At 49.2% G+C, this 22,845-nt stretch overlaps 4 annotated features.

The window, feature by feature from the left end:
• Nucleotides 9,592-10,092: an enhancer, noted in NCBI's record as "H3K4me1 hESC enhancer chr6:168615624-168616124 (GRCh37/hg19 assembly coordinates)". NCBI's record gives its function as "activates a minimal SCP1, AML or CMV promoter by ChIP-STARR-seq in naive H9 embryonic stem cells {active_cell/tissue: H9 hESC(naive)}" and the evidence as "EXISTENCE:reporter gene assay evidence [ECO:0000049][PMID:30033119]".
• Nucleotides 15,560-16,266: an enhancer, noted in NCBI's record as "OCT4-NANOG-H3K27ac-H3K4me1 hESC enhancer chr6:168609450-168610156 (GRCh37/hg19 assembly coordinates)". NCBI's record gives its function as "activates a minimal SCP1, AML or CMV promoter by ChIP-STARR-seq in primed H9 embryonic stem cells {active_cell/tissue: H9 hESC(primed)}" and the evidence as "EXISTENCE:reporter gene assay evidence [ECO:0000049][PMID:30033119]".
• Nucleotides 15,813-16,107: an enhancer, noted in NCBI's record as "tiled region #8070; K562 Activating DNase unmatched - State 20:ReprD". NCBI's record gives its function as "activates a minimal TATA promoter and a strong SV40 promoter by Sharpr-MPRA in K562 cells {active_cell/tissue: K562}" and the evidence as "EXISTENCE:reporter gene assay evidence [ECO:0000049][PMID:27701403]".
• Nucleotides 16,267-16,973: an enhancer, noted in NCBI's record as "OCT4-NANOG-H3K4me1 hESC enhancer chr6:168608743-168609449 (GRCh37/hg19 assembly coordinates)". NCBI's record gives its function as "activates a minimal SCP1, AML or CMV promoter by ChIP-STARR-seq in primed H9 embryonic stem cells {active_cell/tissue: H9 hESC(primed)}" and the evidence as "EXISTENCE:reporter gene assay evidence [ECO:0000049][PMID:30033119]".

Here is a 22,845-nt window from a genome sequence, read left to right as displayed (position 1 = left end):
CAGGAGTTTCTGTACCATCTTACGTGTCAGCCCAAAGACCTAGAGGCCACTGAAACAGAGCAAAGTGGCATTGCTTTTATTTCACGTGAGAGTCTGTTTTTCCAAATACGAAGCCTGCCCCCCTTTGATTGGATTATCGTGTTTATCACTCAGCTTTGGCCACATTTGGGCAGCCTGTCACCCTTTTTAAGTTGTATTCTTGATGTAGATTTTGAAAAGATGGAGTCTATGATGATAGGTTTTAGTGAATCAGCTGAAAAAAGTTTGATATATCATTAAATAAGAACACAATTCAGGAAACCTAACTTCAGATACACCAATTGCTGAGACCCATGGAGAGTGGTTACTATGCTGGCCTCAAAGTTGCAGGATGAAGATTGGTCAGGTTAAAATGAAAGGAAACGTCTCAGGAGTTGGAGACAAACAGAATGGTTAGAAAAACAATTTTTGCATTGTGTCGAGTGACCTGGCTGCCTGCTGGGTCACCGTGTACTTTTCACTCAGGTGAGTCGCATCAAACCATGGTGCCACTTATGGAGCCAGACCCAGCCGCCCTCCTCAGACCTCGGGGGACTCGGGGTGAGGAAGCTTCCTTGGTGCATGGCATCTGGGCTTGCTGAGGGACTCCCACATGCTTGCTCTGCCTCGGTCCTCATATCTGTGGGTGACCGTACCCTTATTTCTGCTCCATGCCACTCCAAGCACTCCCTGGGGGCCTGTTTCAGCTGTAATCAGAGCCTTTGTGGACAAGCCTGCTCCATTCTGCATGATTCTAGTGGGGCTGCCCACCAATCCCACTGTCCCTGGGCACAGCCTGGCTGTCCAGAGAACGCTGCACCCCTGAACACAGCAACTGGGCCAAAAGGCAGTGCATGTCTCAAGCAAGCCAACTTCCTTTTTCTAGAATTGATACAAACACTGGAACAAATAGAACCCTTCTGCTTCTGAGATTATCAGTTGTACACATTACATCTGCCTGGAGTGGTAGGTGGGACATAGAAACAGCCTTCTAAAAAATGAAGCCAATGCAAAGAAGAACAAAGGCAAGAGATAAAAGCAGGAATATGCCTGGGTTGAGCACCTAGATCCAACCATGCCTGAAGTCCATCTTCTTCTTAGAATTCTCAGTTACATGAGATAATAATATTTTTGCTTGAGCTAGTTTGAATTGAGTTTTTATCACGTGCACAGGAAGAATTCTTGCACTTTTCCTTAATCCCCAGACATCATTTGCAGGAGGTATTATTTACAGGAGAGTTTTACTCCAAGTTCAAGGGCTTATCACACAGCATCAGAACTAAGAGCTTAAATTTTAGGAAGACTTATCTTACCAAGCTCTTTGGCTATTTCTATTCCTCCAGCCAGCTCCTCTCTGTCCCCTTTCCATGTCCCCAGAATAGCCAGGCCACAGCCATTCCCATTTTTAATGTGACAACCTCTTGAACAGAGATTGAAAGCTAAAGTCACATCTCCCATATGACTCGGCAGCTGTGATTGCAGGTAGCATTTACGTTCTCTCCATCAGAGGCACCTGTGCCAGACTTGCAAGGTGGGATGGGATACAGGCTGCTGCAAGAACAGTCCCCAAGGACACAGAGGAGGTTCTGGGGCCCAGGCATTGGCTGCATGAGGCTGTGTAATTCCAAAGTTGAAAGCTGCAGCATCAGCCTCCTGGGGACCCAGTTCTGGGGTGACAGCCCCTAATGCACCAGGCTCCTGAGTGAGGAAGAGGCAGCTGCTTCCTTGGGACCCAGTTCTGGGGCAAGGCTGTGGGAACTGTTTCTAAAAGCTCAGTGTGAATTCTACTTCTTTAGCTCCTCCAGTGCCTCTGTAAGCCATTGAGTGCCCCCAAAATAAATACTCTTCTGCTTAGAAGTGCGGATTCTGATTCTGTCTTCTGAGCCTCAACCCCCAACCAGCAATTCCCACAACTTAGGTGGCTCAGGACCCTCTCCTCACTTCAATGTCCTCCATTCCCCCATAGCTCCTGCACTGGTCCCTGCTTATTCCTTGTGTGGGTTATTTAACCCTCTCTGCCTACCTCGATGAGGCCCTGGCGGTCACCCTCACAAAGCCAGTTTTGGCCCTGGAGAAGTTTTGCTGAATCAAGCACCTGGAGTCCCAAAAGCTGTGCCGCCAGACCGGAGCTACCCACACTGCCTTCCCGCCCCACAGCAGAGGCCTCTGACATCAGTGAGGAAGACCAGATGGAAGATCTGAGGCCCTTCCCCGCCACCACCCTCTCCCCTTTCCCACCCCTTCCTGCCACCACTCACCGACTCTACCCTTTGCTAAGCACTGAGTGGGCATTATTTTCCTTATCCATCAGCACGAAGAGGCAAATATTCTGGCAGTGTTCCAACAGATGGTGTCTATTCAGGGTCACCCGAAAGAGTTCCCACTGTCACCTCCATGCCTTCCGCCCTCTGTGGCTGCCCAGTGGCAGGGGCCCCTCACCCCACACTCAGAAGCTGGAGCTCTGGGGTAAGCCCCAGCCTGAGGGGGAATGATGTGAGGAGCCTGGAGAGCACCGGGGAGATGCTGGGCCCAGAGAGGCATCAAAGACAAAGCCGGGTGAGCACAGGGCCAGGGAGGGCACCATTCGCTGATGGCAGGAGGAGCAGGTGCAGCCACCACGGCCACACCTGAACCTGACTCCAGCCGCCTCCCCCTAACAGGAGGATGCTAAACCAGGGCATCTCTGGCTTCCCTGTTGGCCGGACACTGAATAGTGGTAGGGCTGAAGGATTTCAAAGGAAAATAAAGACCTAAGCCCAGCCATATGCTTTGTGTTACATAATTTTCAGAAGGGATGCGTTGACAAACAGAGGTACAGAACCCTAAAAGAAAGGAAAAGACTGGTTTAAGGCAATAGATATTGGCAGCAGAAAGAAACTTGCCAAGAGTGAGCCAGTGAGCAAAACACTGAACAAAACCTGAAGCCGCCGAGTCCAACATTCATCAAGTGCAGGCCCTAGAGGGGCAGCATCGGGTTCCTGACCGAACGTGCTCTGTGGGCCTCTGGACAGCACTTCCTTTCTCTTCCCATCCTTCTGGAAACCTCCCATCTCCCACCCATCCCTGGCATCCATGGCCTGTGGCGATGCCAGCTGGGCCCCCTGCCCAGACACATGTGTGCACTGCAGGGCCCTTTGGCCTCCAGGTCCATGCTCTTTCCACGGCTCCTGCCAGCAGCCCTCTTTGACCTGGGGCTCACACCGCAGTGCACTCTACCCTCAGAAGGAAGATCCACTGAGGGGCTTATGCAGACCCTCAAGGGGCTCAGGGCTTGGTGAGTAGGGAATTCCTGGGCCCAGGATGCCTGGCCAAATCTACAGAGTGAAGCAGGCTCCAGGGCTCCCAGGGACACACCGTGGGGTGGGGCTTGGTGGCCCAGCAAGGCCAGGGTGAGGTCCTCCCAAAAGCAGGCCCAGAGCATGGCCCTCTTGGCTAGATCTGAGGGCAGAACTAAGAGGCATGTCCTGATGGGGACGTTCTTTGGCAGCCTGTGAATACTGGAGGAGAAATCAGGTTTAAATATAAGGAGCTAGAAACAATCTATAAAGAATTCTTCCAGTCATCGAGAGTGTGAAACTGTACACGGTGGACTCAGGTCGCATTGCCTACCCAAAATAAAAACGCAGTCCTCCAGGATTGCTACTGATAACACAGCATCTACAATGAACAGTACATCAGGCTTTGCTTTTCTTTACTGACATGAACCATGCCAAATAGAGTTGATCAGAATTCCTGTGTGTGTGGTGCAAAACTGTAGCTGGGTTACACACAGCAGGTGACTCTGTGTGTGGTTTATGTGGTTATGTGGTTATGCGGTTAATTAACCATGTCTCAGGATGTGTTACATCTTGTCCTCAGAAAGTCTGCAAGCACCTTGCACTCATACACACTCAGACTATACATACAAAAGAATGCATAAAAGAAAGAGGAATTGCCAGTAGAAGAAAACCATGGGCTCCTGAGCTAGTTGGTACAGAAGAGTTACTCATAGGAACACAACGGACAGTGTTGACGTCGAGTTTCATACATAATAAAAATGAGGGCACTAAAAGCAAATTCACTAATGGATATGGCCAACTTAAAAGGGGTCGGAGCAGAGGAAGACTTAAACAGCTCTGAAATCACATCGTTATGGACAAAAGCAACTTGGTAGAGGTTTTCCCAAAGGAAACGAAAAAATTATAAAAAGTTGCATGCTATTACAACGAAGTTTTCTATATAAAATATTTCCTAAACTCAGTAATAAAAATCAGTTTTGGTCAGGCATGCTGGATTGCTGAATTAACTTTTAATTTTCTCTATACAAGACTTGGCACATGAAGAGTCAACCAAAGGATACACAGACAACAATTACAGGGGAATAGTACTTTAGAGGTGTGTCAGCAGCTAATTAGTCAAAATATGTTTTTTTCTGGAAGTTTAATATGATTAGCTTTTCATTAATTGGATTATCAAATAGTCCGTGAGCCCATGTATTTCTTCTACTTGTAATTATAGGAAGGAGATGGGCTGGAAACATGGCACCACTACCTGTCCTGGGGGTCCAGGCTGTGCACCTGCCTCCAGGGAGCCCCAGGAGCTTCAGATGCTTCCTAGGAGGAGAGGCTGGGAGGAGGAGGTAGCAAAGCTCTTGAAAGTGATTGACAGTGGGGGCAACCCATCTCTACACCAAGTCACATTGATTCCACAAAGGCCTTAACATAAATTGAAAGAAAACACTAGAATGCAGACATCCTGTTTATTGAATATTATATTTCTTAGGATCTTGGATCATTTGTATTTTTTATCACACAGTGGACCATAACAACTATTTCCCCAGATGTGATATTGTTGATTTTTCTAATCTAAAAGCATTAGATCATAAATAATTGGTATGACTTTCCACAGAACGCCAGCTGTGCCGCTCCTGATATCTGGGTGTCTCTGAAAATCCAGGGTCCATGGGAACAAATGTCTTTACATTGGCTCAAAAACCCACAATGAAAAGCCAGAGCGCTTCAGCCCTCTGCGTTCATCCGATAACACGCCCAATGGGAACGGATGCAGAGACTGGGGAGAGGCAAAGGGGACTCCGCCCATTTCTGAAGGTCCCACCGGGCACACTCTGTGTTTTCTGTGGGCACCATGGCTCATGCTGTGGTCAGGGTACATTTTCTGAAATGTGTATGATGCACCCAGCATAGCGCTGGGCTCTGTGCAGAAGCTGTTTCATTTACTCTTCACAAAAGAGTGGCTGAGAGGCAGAGGCCAGAGGACCCACCAGGTTCACAGTTCAGGTGACTTCTGGTCTTGCCCACTGGAAGCGGAGATGGCTCACAGCATTCCTTGTACATAGACTTTCTCCCTGGCAGGCACACAGCTCTGTTCCATGTCACCTGGGTCCCTCTTGCCGTTGTCTTTCAAAGGGCAGTTGAGATGGGAAATTCTGGCTCTGAGCCCACCAATCACGGCCCCACCAAAATGAACATTTCCGGTTCCAGAAGCAGGAGGCCTCTGGGAAAGGGCGTGGGGTGAAGGGGGGACCCAATGGAGGGCCGAGCCCAGCAGTGGAAGGCTGCGATCCAAGGCTGTTTCCAGATTCCACCTCCAGGACTGACCAGGCAGAAAGACTCCAGGTCCCCAGACTGTATTTGGTGAAATTCCTAAAACCCAGGGGGAATTGTGTAAAGCAACTCTCACATTCACTTGTTTTTTTAAGCATTATATCAGAAGACATTCTTACAAGATGAATATGCTGAAATCATTTCCAGAAAAGTTTGATTTCCTTCTGCTAACCACTCCTCATCCCTAGAGAAAGTGAATATTTCTCTTAGTATGAAGGGCAAGCATGTTAATGCTGCCTCAGATAGGAGCTGGTTCAGGCCTCCCAATGCTTAGCATTGAAAAACTCAGGTTTAAGTTGAGTTTGGCATTTGAGTAAATCCTTGCCTATGCAAGATACTTCATGAACGTTACACTTACCAGTCCTTTTCCCAGGGGTAGGGTAAGAGAGATTAAAAAGTCTGCAGTAACGGTGTCTTATGAGCAAGCTAGTTGATTTATAAGCAGTAAGCTGCACACGCTGTTGTGCACCACCTATGCATCCTGTGCAGTGAGCTGGTGAAATCTGACGAATCAAGCTGGGGCAGGTGAGCGTTGTGCTACCATCGTGGTGCTTGGAAAACACCCCAGAATAGAAACAGAAATTTCCGCAGTTTCTAAAACAATATCACGTTGCATAGATTCCAGACTCATGCTTTTGTTTTTCTAGTGAGAAAGGGAAGCATGAAGGTTGCTTTCTTCGTTCTCTGCACAGGTGATGAACAAGGCACGTCTTCGCCGTGGATTCTGCCTGCACAGAAGACCTGAGATGCGCGATGTCAGGCCCGTCCCTAACAGGAGGAAATCTCTCCATGTCGCCTTCATTTAGGATTTTTTTAAATTATAGTAAGTATAATAAAAAGAAAAACAGCTGATTTGACTCCATCCTCTTCCAAATGAACTATTTCTGTATATCTTTTGCTTTGGTGCTTAATCGGAAGTGAAACTGTTCACGGCATTGAAAGGAAAACTAAACTACCCCCCAGGGAAGGTGCCCTCCAGCGGGCACTTGCCGGTCACAGGGTGGGTCAATTCCACTTTCCCTGAAGAAGGTGGTACTTTTGTTTAGAATCATAAGAGACAAAGGACTCTCAACTGGATTTGCATGACGTCTCATGGCAGGGTTCCCAGACTTTCTAAGGAGCTGTTTGATGTCAGAATACATTGTGCTGGCTGCTCACGGGTAGCACAGGTGTTCTTACTGTCCACTAATTGAAATGAACAACCAAAAAAAATGACAAAAAGCCACTGTGAAATCAAGAGGACTCTGAAAACACATCTCTACTTTGCCAATCTCATGTGTATCTACAGATATTGACATCACAGGGTTAAGTGTCTGAATGAGGTGTTGATTCTTCTGCAGGTTGTGATGTGCACTTGGGTCCCGGGACTCTTGGGAACCCTGGCTCCAGGCACCACTAGCTCAGGGAGAGGCCTGTATTATAAATATCTTACATCAGATGTTTTGCACGACTTATTTAGTTGTGTATTTTATAAAAGTAAATCTTTCCGAGGCTGAGAATATTTATAGGTATTATACTGTACTTCCTAAATAGGCTGATTTCAGAAGAATAAAAATTAAAAAGAGAAGATACGAAGGTCACTAAAACAGGTGATGGGAAAGGCAGCCTGAGGTCCTCAAAGACCCCATCCCTAGGAGACATTTGTAGGTGCCTGGAGCCACTCCGGACCCTCTTCCCCCTACCTCGGGGCCACAGCAGTTCTCTGCCTTGCTCCATTGTGGCTTGGGGATGTATGAATGAAGGAGGCCACGCGAAGCTGCTGACGAAGGGGTCTGGGGAGCCCGGGCATCCCACACCCCACAGTTACCCCAGCAGCCTGGCATTTTAAAGCTCTTCCAGCCCACTCCCAGGCACCCCTTTTTCATCAGGACTTCCCCCCAGTTTCCCAAACAAGCGCGAGCGACAGCCTTTATCCACCGAGCTTCCCGGGCACATGCGCTCCTGTTCCCACCAGCAGGAGACCTGGAAGGGAAGCGGCCGTGTCCTGCCCGTGACGCGCGGCCTGGCTCGCCCTGTGCCCTCCCTCACCCTCCTCTTCTGCTGAACCTATGAAAAGTCCCCCGCCCCCATCACCCACCCAAATCCCAGGCTCCACATGAACTCTGTCCACCCTCGACAGGGCAGGTGTGATTTCTGTCCTGTGCCGCCTCTGGAAAGCGAGGGTCATCCAGTGAGGGTTCCTGACCCTTCCCATCCAAAGGCCGATCCACATGCAACCAAACAACTCACTTCGGAGACTAAGCGGAGACGCAGACACACTGGGAGGAGGCCAGGTGGGCACTCCATGCTGCCCTGAGTTCACCTTCAATTCTATCGGGAAGAGATTCGGTGCAGACATGCTAGAAAATTGTCCTAGTCGATCATGATAAGCCTCCACCAAAGTGAGCACAGTGACGAGGAAGGGGCATTCAGTGCCTCTCCACCTCATCACACAGGCAAGCTTGCAGCAGGGTGCTTCTTGCTGCTAATTGTTCTACCCACTGTCTACAGGAAAAACAGCGGCCTCTTGGAATGAAAACCACATTCTCCCGCCCATCGCAGTAAGTGCGGCCATGTGTGTAATTTCCGGACAAAGGATGGGAAAGAAATGGGGGCACGGCTCCGGGAGCCCTGCCCGAGGCTGCGTCCTGGCCCACAAATTCCCAGAGCAGTCTGGGCTCTGTGACCAGCCCCGAAGTCTCTGCACCTGACCTTCAAGAGAGACAGAAATAAACTTCTGCCCTGTTTAAACTCCTGACATTTTGAATATCTGTAACGAGAGCCAAACCTAATTTTTAATGAATGCAAACTCCATCTGATGGTGAGATGAGTAAAAAGGAAAATTTATTTATTCAACAAATATTTATGTATCAGGCACCTGAAATATTGCTCTTTAGTGTAGTTATACACAGTGATAATGTAAACAGACAAAAGTCCCTGTCCTCACGATTCTCATGTTCTGGAAGGAAAGAAAGATGATAGGCAAATGAAAGCAGAGAGTTGCAAATGATGGGGCTGCTGTGAGGAAAGACAGCAGGGCGAGGTGTTTGGGGTCTGGACGCAGACAGCCCTGAGCCGACAAGAGGTTCCCATGCTGCTCCGAAAGAAGCGAGGTCCCTCAGTGACCACCTGGGGTCAGGAATTCCTGAAGAATTCCCATTTACTCTGTTACAAATTAGGTAGTTCATTTAAACTGTGCTTGAAGTCACATGTGTTATTAGTGAAAAAATGTGATCAAAGAGAAAAGACTGGAGGTGATTAATACAATATGCTAATATGATATCTAAGATGCAGAGCATGAAAGGAGAGAGCTTTGTTTCTCTCAAAAACTAAGGTGAATGCTTTGGAAAGATAGAAACTCTGTCTGCTTTACAAAAATTGCTGTTGACTTAGGAGCAGATGGAGAAATCATAAAAGTCCCAAAGCGTGTTTGTCTCTGCAGGGTTGTGAAGTCCTCACCCTACTCTGCGGAAATGAGCAGAAAATTGTCGGAGTCATTCGGCATTTGTTCATGCAAGAAAGACACAAACCCCAGTGAGTTCCTGCCGGAGAAAAAGCCTGAGTCCCCCAAAAAATATTGTGTCTAAGTGGCCATGGAAATATTTAGTTAGTATTGTGTCTAAGTGGCCATGGAAATATTTAGTTTCTGTCGGTATTTCTCTTAATGATTTCCTATTTAATCGACAATGAGCCGTTTGGAAGATACCGAAAGGGAGGGCCCTACGGTGTCAGATGTAGCTCTGTCCAGTGGGCTTCCTGTTCGTGATGGGGTGGGGCTGTACCTTCTCCGATACGGGCAGGTGGGGTGCGACAGTGGCAGGTGGTTGGTGGGGGTCTCACCCCACACAGGGTGTCATGGAAGCTTCCAGAGGAGAGAGAGGGAGCGGGAGCTGCGTCATGAATGACACTGCGGTTGTCCACAGTAGCATGTACACAGAAGGAGAACATGAAAGAACTCGGAATCTTCTTAGGACGCTCATGTGTTCTGTGAAATGGAGCCCAGGGCTTCCCTGGAGGGGCAGGAATGGTGAGTGACTGGGCTGGGGAGGGGAACGGGTAGATGGGGTCAGATCAGCAAGGCCCTCGCCTGCCCATGCATCCGACCTTCCCTGCCACGCCCAGAGGATGTTTGGCAAGGTGGAGGACTGCTCACCTCTGAGTTTGGCGAGGTCCCTCTGGCAGGGGTGGAGAAAGGGTCGCCAGGCGGCTCGTGCAGGGCAGGTGCTCTCCAGGGAAGGTCATTTGGTCGAACTTGTGCTTGGGAGTTTTTGGTGCACAAGTGATAACTGGAGCCATGGAAATGAGAGGGAGAGGGAGGGGTCAGGTGCAGGGAGAGGGAGGGGTCAGGTGCAGGAACAGAGCCCAAGGAACACCTGCATTGAAGGGACAGAGGCCCCACAGACAGGAGGAGAAAACCCAGTTCCACCAAGGTCACGAAGCCTAGGAAGCCGGGATTTCCATGGTCAGTAGTATTGAGTGCTGCAGAGATGCTGAGTACGGATGTGGTTAAGCGGCTGGGGAAGGGTGAAAGGCACCCCCAGGGACCTCGGTGAGAGCAGTGTCAATGGGAGGCAGTGCAGAGACACAGGGCCCAGCGGCTTCCAGGGCAGGTGCCGGGAAAGGGTCGCCCGGCAGAGTGGCTGCACAGAGCTGCACCCGTGCACATTGCAAACGTGGACAAGAGTGTGAACAGCTCCCCTGGGGCCTGGCCACGTGCGTGTCTGCCACGGCGCTGTCCTGAGTAGACTCGCTGTGAAGGGAAGGCAAGAATTAGAGAAAGAAGGGGACCCAGTGCTGAGGGATAATTTTCTAACCACATATGAGATGTGACTATTTCTACGCACCCAAGGAAAGGCCGGTCACAGAAGCAAACGTGGAAACTGAGGGAGGAATCGCTGGTGGAGAGCGAGCCCCAGGAGGCCTGAGACAGCGCTCAGGCAGAAACGTCCGTAAGTCAACGAGCATCAATCAAACCTGCGAGTGACCCATGGAGGCATAAGGCCACATCTGCTGACCACATCAGACCAATACCCCTTTCACTCTCATTTGAGCTTGCTGAGATGAGGCTGGACAAGAACATCTACATGGAAAAGTGTTAGAAAGAGGAGAATTTTAAATCTTATGCATGACTGGCTATTAGAAAGTATAGCCTTGGGTTTTAGATCTATTTTCAAAACCTGACCTGCATGACTCCTTATTTCTTTTTTGTGACTACAGCGTCAGAAATGTTGGGAAATTGCTTATGAAGTGATGTAAGTGCAGTGACGGACGTTGAGTCAAACTGACATCATGATGTAAATGCCATGGCTGGTTCCAGGCAGGGGCACTCATCCTTTTTCTCCAGCTTCTATCGAATGGAGTAAGTAGTGCAAAATACGTCACAGGTTGTACTTGGAGACTTTGCCGCGTGCCTTTCCTTTTTGTTTTGTTCTTTTTTTTGTGAGACGGAGTCTCGCTCTGTCGCCCAGGCTGGAGTGCAGTGGCTCGATCTCGGCTCACTGCAAGCTCCGCCTCCAGGGTTCAAGCCATTCTCCTGCCACAGCCTCCAGAGTAGCTGGGACTGCAGGCGCCCGCCACCACGGCTGGCTAATTTTTTGTGTATTTTTAGTAGAGATGGGGTTTCACCGTGTTAGCCAGGATAGTCTCAATCTCCTGACCTCGTGATCCGCCCGCCTCGGCCTCCCAAAGTGCTAGGATTACAGGCATGAGCCACCGTGCCCAGCCCCTATTTTTTTTTTTAACATTAATGTGAAGTGAAGACACAACGCGGCTGTGAGAGGGGGCAGAAGTCACAGCTCAAATGATGGGCATCCCATTTTCCAAACCACTGGGGTGGGAAGTCAACGAGGCAGCTCAGCAGGTGCCTCGGGGAGAAAGAACCGGCTGGCGTGGCTCCGTCGGGGCTCTTCAGGCATTTGGACTTTGCAGTGGCATCTCCCATGGGGGAAGCCAACGCGATCCCACTCACAATGGGCCTGAGGGGGTGCTGCCCATCCGGATTCACCTGTCCTCCAGGGTCCACGAGGGGCTCTCAGAGCTTTCATCCTCAGATCCCCGGATCCGTGCTGCCCATCACGGATTCACCTGTCCTCCAGGGCCCACGAGGGGCTCTCAGAGCTTTCATCCTCAGATCCCCGGATCCGTGCTGCCCATCACGGATTCATCTGTCCTCCAGGGCCCACGAGGGGCTCTCAGAGATTTCATCCTCAGATCCCCGGATCCAGGCGGTGGCTCTGTCTGGGGAGGGGCTGACTGCAGAGAGAACCCCCTCGCCATGGAGGTTGAGAGACAAAATGACTGGTGAAATTGCCGGAACATGAACACTCAGTAGGCGCTCGGCATTGTGCGTACTGCTGTATCTCAGCTAAATGTTGTTTCTTTTTTCGGAAGCTCCACCCTATCTCAGCCTCCTGCTCCAACTCACCACATTGGCCTGTCAATTTCATCTCTGAAACTGAAAATTTCTCAAATCCGCTCATTTTTCTCTGTTTAAGCTGCAGCCTCCAAGATCCGGGCCCTCACCCAGCCCCAGGCTGATCCTCGGTCCCCCTGGGCATGAGGACCCACATCAGGTCCCCGGCCACCCCAGAACCACAAGGAAACCTCCAGAACCCCAGCAGGAGGGTGGCATTTACACCTTCAGGATGAAGTCCGGAGAAGCCTCCCTGACCCTCCAGATGCCCACGCAAGTGTAGACCCCGCCCCCACCCCACACAAGTGTAGACCCCGCCCCTGCCCCACGCAAGTGTAGACACCACACAAGTGTAGACGCCGCCCCTGCCCCACGCAAGCGTAGACCCCGCCCCCGCCCCACACAAGTGTAGACCCCGCCCCTGCCCCACGCAAGTGTGGACCCTCCTGCTCCCTGCCCCCTGCCCCCCACGCACGCTGTGCTACGTTCCAAACTGGGGATCTCCAGACGTTCCAAACTACGTCTCCAGACTGGGGATCCTGCAGCGCCTCTGCCCCTCTCACGCCTTCCGGCCCTGCCTGCTGCCCCGCTGCCCCCCTGGCTAGCCAGTGAGCACCAGTGTCCTCTGTCTGTTGTTCTGTATTCTCGATGGGATAGGCACCAACAAAACGCTTACACAGTACAACGAGGCAGTAACGAATATCCTTGCCCCGCCACCCAGCTTAAGAAAAACAACTCTGGACCCAAGGCGGGGGTCCCACCACTGCCCTCCCCTCAGAGCTGAGCCCTGCCCTGAATTTGTGCTCATGACGGCCTTGCTTTGTTACAGGTTATAGCATAGGGCTGTGCCCCAAATATGTTCATAGTGGGTTTTGTGAAGTCAACTCCACTAATTAAGAGACATTCATTACAGAGTGGCTTGATAATCTAACAGTTCTCATACCAGTAGACAAGGAATAAAAATTACATTGATTTGCTAATTATTCTCCTGGGCCTGACTCTTAGAGGTGAATTCTGTGACTATTTGGTTGAAGTCAAGGAAAGACGACAAACTTGCAGAGACGCTGAGATGTGCTTGTGCTTCTCGCTTTGGTTGTGTGGGAAAGGCCTGGTGGATTCCCTGAGACCTGAGGTTCCCGAGGCCACGCCCCTGATCTCTGATGAATTCAGGGTGGCAGGACTAGGTCACACTTCATTAGAATCGTGAATTCACGTGGCCATGTTATTGTTTGTAAAATAAATAAAGACAGCTTGAATTCTTGATTTAAAATTTGATGTTTTATTTTTGATTTTCTTTTTTTATTTCAAAACTCAATTATGTCTAAAGATACAAGCAGCATAAACAATAATCGTGGGACCCACTGATCTGAGGTTCCCTAGTGGAGTCAAACCACAGAGACAAAAAGGAGGGTGAGGGCTGCAAGGAGCTAGGGAGAAGGAAGGGGAGTGAGCGTTTAATGGGGACAGAGTTTCCATTTGGGAAAATAAAAAGGTTCTGGAGGCTGGGCAAAGTGGCTCACACCTGTAATCCCAGTACTTTGGGAGGCAGAAGTGGGTGAATTGCTTGAGTCCAGGAGTTCGAAACCAGCCTGGGCAACATGGTGAAACCCTGTCTCTACAAAATTACAAAAATTAGCTGGGTGTGGAGGCACATGCCTGTCGTCCCGGCTACTTAACAACAGAAATTGTTTTCTCACAGTTCTGGAGGATGGAGTCTGAGATGAAGGCGTGGGCAGGGCTGGTTCCTGGAGAGGGCTGCCTCCTGGCTTGCAGAGGGCTGCCTCCCTGCTGTGCCCACACAGGTCTTTCCTTCTTCTGTGCACAGAGAGAGAGAAAGAGAGAGCTCTCCAGCATCCCTTCCTCCAAGGACACTAATCCCATGGGGTCAGGGCCCACCCCCATGACCTCGTCTAACCTTAATGATCTCCCTCAAGGCCCCATCTCCAATGCAGCCACACTGGGGCTTAGGTTAGCCTAGGGATTCTGGGGCACAGAGTCACTCGGGGCACCAGGGAACAACGGGGCAGGCTGTCACCGCACCCTCTGCTGGCAGGAAGCACAGCGCCAGGCAGGACCCAGCAACGCTGGAGGGTGGGATCCGCGGGGCATGTTTGGGGCTGCAAGTGCACACCCAGCTGGTGGCCAGGGCCCCCGTGAGGAGGAGACCCCAGGCTCGGGCACACCCTCCCATGGCCACAGGTTTTTTAGGGCCCCACCCTCACTGGCCTGGTCATCTCCAGGGGCCCGAGAGCAGCACGTGGAGGGGCCTGGCTCCAGTTTCCACCCAGCACCCATTTTGCTGCTTCCTGCAGCAAAAACACAGCAAGAAGAGCTCCTGGCACGGGCTGCAGAGCTCAGCTTTCAACTGTGGGTCAGGGCAGCATGAAGGCAGCTCAGCGGGAAGGCTTGAGCAGCAGGACCCTGCAGAGGCGCCTTCCTAGGGAGCTGCCACATGTGGCAAACAAAGCAAGGTCTCGCATGCACACATGCAACCTGCACAAACACACACAGAGTGTACAGACACACATGCACAGACACACATGCACACACATAGCATACAGACACACATGTGCACAGACACAGAGTATACACACATGCACAGACACACACATGCACATACATGCACAGAGTGTACAGACACAGGCACAGACACACTCATGCACATACACATGCACACACACATAGTATACAGACACACGTGCACAGACACACACAGAGTGTACAGACATATGCACACACACATAGCATATACACATGTACACAGACACATAGAGCATACACACACACATGCATACAGGGAGCATACAGACATGCACACACACAGGAATATGGAGACACATGCACAGACACACACATGCACAGATACACACAGAGCGTACAGACACACAAATGCACAGAAATACCACACACACAAAACACAACACACATATACACACAAATATGCAGCACACAAACACACAGGGACACACAGCCACACACATAACAGACACACGCCCATATCACAGACACTGAAGATGGAGCAGAATGTAACCTCCAGAAGGGGAAGCTGTGACCCAAGCACAGCCTCATCTCTGTGGGGAGCAGGAGGCCGGGAAGAAACGTGCTCAGCCCCCGGAAAACACGGAAGGATGAACGCGAACTCCAAGCTTGCACCAGAGGGATTTGAGGCTGTGGCTGTCAGTGCTGGTTTAGTAAGAGTTGCAGAGCCAGTGAGTGGTGAGCCGAGGCCTCTCCCACCAGGCCATCCCTGCTCCCACTCAGGTCTGGCTGCCCCAAGTCAGGCCCTATGGTGGCAGGGGCCCTCCAACATCCTGACTGTCACGGCGGAATCTATAGTGGCCTGTTCCATGGAGCCGTCACAGGCACACCCGAGGCTGGTTCTCCAGGGGCAGGGCTGAACAGGACGGCCCTTTCAAATGCCAGACCCCTGCCCCGTCTCCACTGGCCGTGGTGAGGAAGTGAGGCAGTGTGTTCCATGCCTCCGAGAGCAGTGGGGCCAGGGAGGCAGGGTGGGCTGGGCTCTGCACCTTCCGCTTAGTGATTGGATCCCCCCAACCTCACAGGCCTAGCCCACCATCCCCAGGAGGCCAGGCTGCCTCTGAAGATTTGGACGAGAGAGAGACAGAGACAGAGATGCAGAGAGACAGAGAGAGATCGAGGCTGTTTACTGGTCACTTGGGTCCAGGCCCCTTCAGCCCCTGGCCAGTGGCAGGGGTGTCAGGCCCAGTGCAAAAAGTTTAATAGGCAAGAAAGAAGGAAGGAAGAAGAAAGCAGCTCCCCTGTACAGAGCAGAGGGAGGGGGATTCAAACAAAGAGAAAACCCCCGTGTGGGGCGGAAAAGTGGCTGCTTATACTGGGACGCTGGAGGAGGCGGTGTCTGGTTTGCATAAGGCCGAGGGGATTGGCTTGACCAGGTGTGTCATTTACATAGCCTGAGAAAAACCTGGCCCTCCCACCTTAGCCCTTTAATATGCAAATGTGGGTCACCATGATGTTCCCAACACTTGGTGTTATCTGGAGGTGGCCATGAACTTGGTACACGTGCTGGCAAGGAGAAGACAGCGGGAATTGCCATATTGAGGTATCCAGTTTCTAATGGTCGGCATTTGCATATCAAAGCTTGCCAGTCCGGCCCTTCAAGCCGCCTTTTCTGTTAGAAAAGAGATGGTTCGGGTGTTTTTTATTACAGGAAAGTTTACACCAAGAACCTTTACCTTTACTATCTGCCTAAAAATTATTTCTTAATAACTCCTGTATCACAGAGTCTTGGCCTCTGGAGCCAGCAGGGCTGAGGTTCCAAGGAGCTGGGAGCGAGGCCTAGCCTGGGACCCTCGCCTGGGCTCTATGCCCGGCCCCTGCTCACTTTTCTGGAGTCCTTCGTTGGGGCATTGGGAGACACAGTCAGCAATCCTTTAAATTCCCATTTTCCTGCGTGTGTCCCTCCTTGGCAATGGACCCTCATGGGGCGGGAGAAACAATCCCACGTTGGAACCTGGCCCTTGGCATCCTTGCATGGAATATGAACATTGCTCCAGAATCCACAGTGATCAAAGGTGGTACCATGTGTATTTTACTTTAAATGATCTTTCCTGCTAATAAGCAGCGTTTCCTTCAAGTTAGTTTGAGTTAACAGTGCTTTACTGTAATTTATTTGTTCAAGCTTATAGAGGTAGATTTATGCTTTCATTTTTCTCTAGAGATGTCTGTTTCCTAGAAAGGGTTTAAATCCCGAATTAAAAAAAAAAAAAAAAGAAAACTACCTACCAGATGAAGAAATGATGCAGGCTACCTCCAGCCTGGAATTGAATAAATGAGATTTTTGTTAAACCTCCAGTGATGGTGCAAAGTCATGAGCAAGTTGCCCACAGGGACACACCAGCTGCCACGTGGGTTCCACCCTGAAGAGGCATCCACTGTCGCGAGTGATATTTATATAAAACAACCCTCAGTGCCGAGCAATGAACAGAGCGTTCTCCTGGGAGCGGTCGCAGCGGCTGAGCGGGGACAGTTGGGTGGATGAGGGGAGTCAGGGATGGGACGTGAGGGAGGGTCCACCATGCTAGGCCATAGCAGAAGCTGGGCAGAAAGGCCTGGAGCCTGAGGCTCGCTGTGGCCACAGCTCAGGACGTGCCAGAGGACATAAGCCAAGGACAGGGGAGGGGGCTCCAGGAAGGAGAAAGGGACTGTGTTTCTCTCCCATGGACGCCGAGACAAATGGCACTGACTGGTGGCCTTAACCAGCAGATCTACCCGCTCACAGAACAGCAGCCAGAGACCCATGATCTCGGCTCCAGGTGCAGGCAGGGCGCACAGAACTGCAGCTAGAGACCTGTGATCTCGGTTCCAGGTGCAGGCAGGGCGAGCTTCCCTGAAGGTCCAGGAAGGCTCCTTCCAGCCTCCTGATGCTCTGCGGGGCTCTAGGCCTCCCCTGGCTGCAGCTGCACCTCCCGGCTCCATCTCCACACTGCCCTCTCTGTGTGTCTGTGACCAAACCCCTCTGCCTTTCTCCCACCCCGAGGCCTGTGATTGCATTTAGGGCCCACCAGGCAAATCCAGGATCAACTCCTCCTCAAGAGATCCCTCACCTAATCTCATCTCTTACCATGTAAGATATTTATCACAGGTTCTGAAGATTAGGAAGTAAAAATATCTTGGGAAGGGTCACTTTTCAGGTCTCCACAGTGAGAAAATGAAAGAATTGGGCTTCTGCCCCCTCTCCCTTCCTTAGAAAGATCAGATACAGGAGACCACAGTAAGTGGTCCCTGAGCGGGTAGAGTTCTAACCCTCCTGTTCATGAGTGAGCACAGGACTTACGTTGGTTCAGAGCCCGTGTGAATCACCCGGCAGGTAGAGGGAAGAGCTTACTGGTTCCATGTCAGAGCAGCCTTTCCTGATGAGCTCTGCAGGAAAATGAAAGGGCTGTGGCCAATGGCCCTGGCTCACCCGTCATCCGTCATGCCTGCTTAGCAGGATGCCGCAGAGGGCCCTGGCAACCGTGCAGAATTGAAAGACTTGTTACATAAATGCTGATTGTGTTTTTTTTTTAACTCAAAGAACCAAACAAGTCACTGGACATTATCCCAACTCATTCTAAACGTAAACCCTTGTCATCCTGACCCAGCACCCGAGGTCCTCTGAGGACGTGGCCTCTTTCGACTGGAGCCTCTGTCCTTCCTGTGCCATCAGGTTGGTCTTTGCCAGCCCGGCTTTGTGTGCCTTGGTGATTTTTCATGCATAACTCATGAGGTGCCTGTGCTGTGTTCCTTGAATCAAACGCTTTCTTCCGAGCAGCACTGAGGAAGGGCGGTCTTCCCAGGCCTCAATGGGGTCACAGAAGGCAGCTCCTAAGTCACAGGTAAAATCCCCAGAGGCACTAGATTAATTGCTCTGGAAATTGAATCCCTTCATTGCGTTTTTCCAAAAGAAGGCAAGTTTCTCCACTCCTGGTAATCATCCCCCCTGCTCTCCAAGCAGGAGAGAAACTTAGTCATCCTGTCAGTGCCTGGATGCTTCCAAGACACTGGCCACAGCCATCTCCAGCCAGGAACTGGCCTTGGCCTTCCCGAGAGCTCTTAAAGCCACGCCACCCTCCCAGGCATCTGGAAGTGAATGCCAGGGTAGGCCAGGGGTGCTGACCTGCTGGTCGCACTTGGCTTTCAGCTACAGATGGCCTGGAAACCCTAAGGTGGCCCCACCCCGTCCCTGCCCAGCCTGAAGCCTGACTTCATGCCTGAATCGATGTTTGAGTCACTCGACGCTCAGGCTCAGACAGAGGCCTTAGGTCACTGACTTGCCAACACCATGATTGAGCTCGTGGAATTAATTATTTAACTGGTGTTAACATCTGCTAGAAACTGTTTGCTCTTCCGATCCAAATCACTTAAATAGAGAGATCAGGTTGGGAGGGACTATCCATTTTTCCTCTCCTGACACATTCTTCTACCTTCAATGATTTATTTTGTTGTTGTTACTACCAAAGTATCTTCAGTATTTACACTGAGGGCACAATCAAAGAGCTTCGGGGATTAGAAACGGGCTGAACTGGCTTAAAGAAGAAGGAAACAGGCTGGGCGTGGTGGCTCACACCTGTAATCCCAGCACTTTGGGAGGCTGAGGTGGGCGGATCACGAGGTCAGGAGATCGAGACCATCCTGGCTAACATCCCCGTCTCTACTAAAAATACAAAAAATTAGCCGGGCGTGGTGGCGGGCGCCTGTAGTCCCAGCTACTCGGGAGGCTGAGGCAGGAGAATGGCATGAACCCGGGAGGCAGAGCTTGCAGTAAGCTGAGATCGCATCACAGCACTCCAGCCTGGGCGACAGAGCCAGACTCTGTCAAAAAAAAAAAGAAAAAAGATGAAGAAGGAAACACTGATAAATTCTCTCCAAATGCTTTTCTCACCTCACAAGCACCTAGAAGGTACAACTCTGTGCTGGTTCCAGAGCTGCCAGCCCTTGGTGGGGTCTGATCTTGGTACCATGAGGACGAACTCACGCTTACCGCCAGGGATTTTAACCTGCAAACATTCATAGCAACTCTACTTCAAAACGTTATTTTTACCCCACTTTGCAGATAAGGAACTGGAGACTCAGAAAGGTTATTCCAAGTTCCCCAAGGTCATACAGCAGGTCCGAGGTGGAACTGAGATTTCAACAAGGCCCACCTGACTTGGAACCCGGCTCCTGGACCACACCCGCACCCATGTGTGTGCGTGAGCGTGTGCTTGCACGGGTATGGATGTGGTCTGCGTGTGAAAGTAGATACTAGGAAATGTACCATCCTGGCTTCCTATTGGAGAGAAGTAGGGATATTTGAGGAAGAGATAAAACATGTTTAAAAACAATAAATTCACATATCTCAATGTTTTTTGTCTTCACAAAAATCAAAGAAAATAAAGGTAAATACTCTTAATGGTTGTTCAGAATCCAATAGTTTGTATCTCTACGGTCAAGAAGGGTGATTTATCTGTACCTATCCTTGTTTCTGAATCATTCCGCATTTGGACCTGTGTTTAAATATCTTTCTGTCAAAATTTCAGTCATGCTTACATCGAACAATTCTCAAGGCCGAATCCATGTTGCAAAGAAATCTTTCAAAGAGATGTACTATCTGCTGCTGTCTTTATTCGAGGCATGAATCGTGAATAAAAGGAGAGTCCATTTATTTGCAGCAGGGAGCCACCACACAGCACCCAGTTGGGGACACAGTAGTCAGAGGTTATCAAGGTTCCCAAGTCCTTCTACCCATAACCTAAACAAACAGAGGAGTTTTCTAAAACACAGAAAAGTTACAGTATGTTGGCTCCTGTGCGTGCATGTGTATGTGCGCACACACATGTGCATGTGGGAGGGGTGTGTAGGGGGGGGGATGGTGCATGCATGTGTGGGGGTGTGTGTGTGTGTGTGCTGGGCTGCTTTCTTTATTCTTTGGCCAGGCTGCTCTTTTTAAATCAATAGAGGGAAGGAAAGAGAATGATCAGGTCTGTTGGTAATGAAAACACATGTGAGCACCAGGAAACAGCTTCTGATTGAATTCAGATGCTTTAATCAATAATCATCCCCACCAGGAGGCACGATCTTCTGCTGCAGAGGTGTGGAGAGGAGGTGTCACCGTCCTGCCCCGTCAGGGCCTCCCTGCTCCTGCATCAGCCAGGGCACAGATGTCAGGCCAGAACCGAGGTGCCGCCATCCTGCCCCGTTAGGGCCCCCCATCCCCCTGTATCCTCTAAGAACCATCATTCTACTCTCTTCTCCTATGCATTTACCTTTTATAAATGTCACATATAAATAAGATCATGCAGTATTTGTCTTTCTCTGCCTGGCTTATTTCACTTAGTATAATGTTCTCCAATTCCACCCATATTGTCACAAGTGACAGAATTTCTTTCTTCTTAAAGGCTGTATAGTATTCCATTGTGTATATATAGTAACATTTTCTTTATCCATTTATCTGTTGGCAGACGCTTAGGTTGATTTTAGAATCTTAGCTACTGTAAATAATGCTGTAATGAACATGGAGTGCAGATATGTCTTCAACATACTGATTTCATTTCCTTTGGATATATACTCAGAAGTGGAATTGCCAAATCATGTGGTTGTTCTTTTGTTAATATTTTGAGGAAGTTTCATGCTGTTTTCCACAATAGCTGTACTAATCTACATTCCCACCAACAGTCTACAAGGCTTCCCTTTTCTCTTCATCTTTGCCAACATGTTATCTTTTTGATAACAGCTCTCCTAACAGAAGTGAGGTGATATTTCATTGTGCATTTTCTTGATGATTAGTGATGTTGAGCATTTTTTCATATACCTTTTGGCCATCCATATGTCCTTTTGAGAAACGTTTGTCTTCTTTTGAGAAATATCCATTCAGGTTTCTTGTTCATTTTCTAATCAGATTATTTGTTTTCTTGCCACTGAGTTGTTTGAATCCCTCATATATTTTTGATATTAACCCATTATTGGATGCATAGTTTGCAAATATTTTATCCTGTTCCACAGGTTGTCTCTTCACTCTGTTGATTATTTTCTTCACTGTGCAGAAGCTTTTTAGCTTGATGTAATCCCATTTATCTATTTTTGCTTTTGTTGCCAGTGCTTTTAGGATTCATATTAAAAAAATTCATTGCCCTGGCCAATGTCATGGAGGTTTCTCCTTGTGTTTTCTTATAGTAGCTTTACAGTTTCAGTTCTTATGTTTAAGTCTTTAATCCATTTTTAGTTGATTTTTGTGTCTGGTGTGAGGTAAGGGTCTAATTTCATTCTTCTATATGTGGATATCCAGTTTTCCCAACACCATTTATTGAAGAGACTGTCCTTTCCCCATTGTGTGTTCTTTGTTGAAAGTCAATGAACTGTAAAAGCATGGATTATTTCTGGGCTCTCTGTTTTGTTCCACTGGTCTATATGTATGTTTTTTGTGCCACTGCCATATTGTTTTGATTACTATAGCTTTAAAAAACTGTTAGAACTAACAAACAAATTCAGTAAAGTTGAAGGATAAAAAATCAACACACAAAAATCAGTAGCATTGCTGTATACTAACAATATATTTAAAAAAGAAATTAAGAAAACAATTCAATTTACAATAGCTAGAGAAATACTTAGGAATAAGTTTAACTAAGGAGGTGAAATATCTGTACACTGAAAACTATAAAACACTGGTGAGAAAAACTGAAGAAGTTTTTATAAAAAGATGTAAAGATATTCCATGTTCATGAATTGAAAGAATTAATATTGTTAAAATGTCCATACTCCCCAAAGTGATTAAAGATTCAATGCAATCCCTAACAAAATTCCAATAACATTTTTCACAGGATTAAAAAAAACCCCTTAATTTCTTATGGAACCACAAAAGACCCCAAGTAACCAAAGCAATCTTGAGCAAAAACCACAGAGCTGGAAAAATATCACACTACTTGAATTCAAAATACGTGGAAATTAAACCATACACTCTTGAACACCACTGGATCAATAAATCACAAAGGAAATAGCAAATCCCTTAAGGAGGCCGCGACCTGAGCCACAGGGTCCAGGTAACACCTTGATCTTGTACTTCTAGTCTCCAGGACAGAGACAGGAAGTTTCCATTGGATAAGCTGCCCAGTTCATGGTACTTGGTTGTGGAGGCCTGAGCAAGCCAGGACAGACCTCAAGTGCTCAGATATGCTCTGATCTCTCCTTTCCCTCCCCTAGATTATCCCTCTCTGTGTTAGCTCTCTTCTGAGACCACGCCTCTCTTGTCCCTGAAAAATGGCAGGACTACATCCTGCTGCTTCACTCAGTTCACACCAAAACCCCAGAATTAAATCCTGATTCTGATTAGTCTAACTT

This window comes from Homo sapiens, chromosome 6 (assembly GCF_000001405.40).
Source record: "Homo sapiens chromosome 6, GRCh38.p14 Primary Assembly".
NCBI lineage: Eukaryota > Metazoa > Chordata > Mammalia > Primates > Hominidae > Homo > Homo sapiens.
This window is presented reverse-complemented; position numbering and strand designations above follow the sequence as displayed.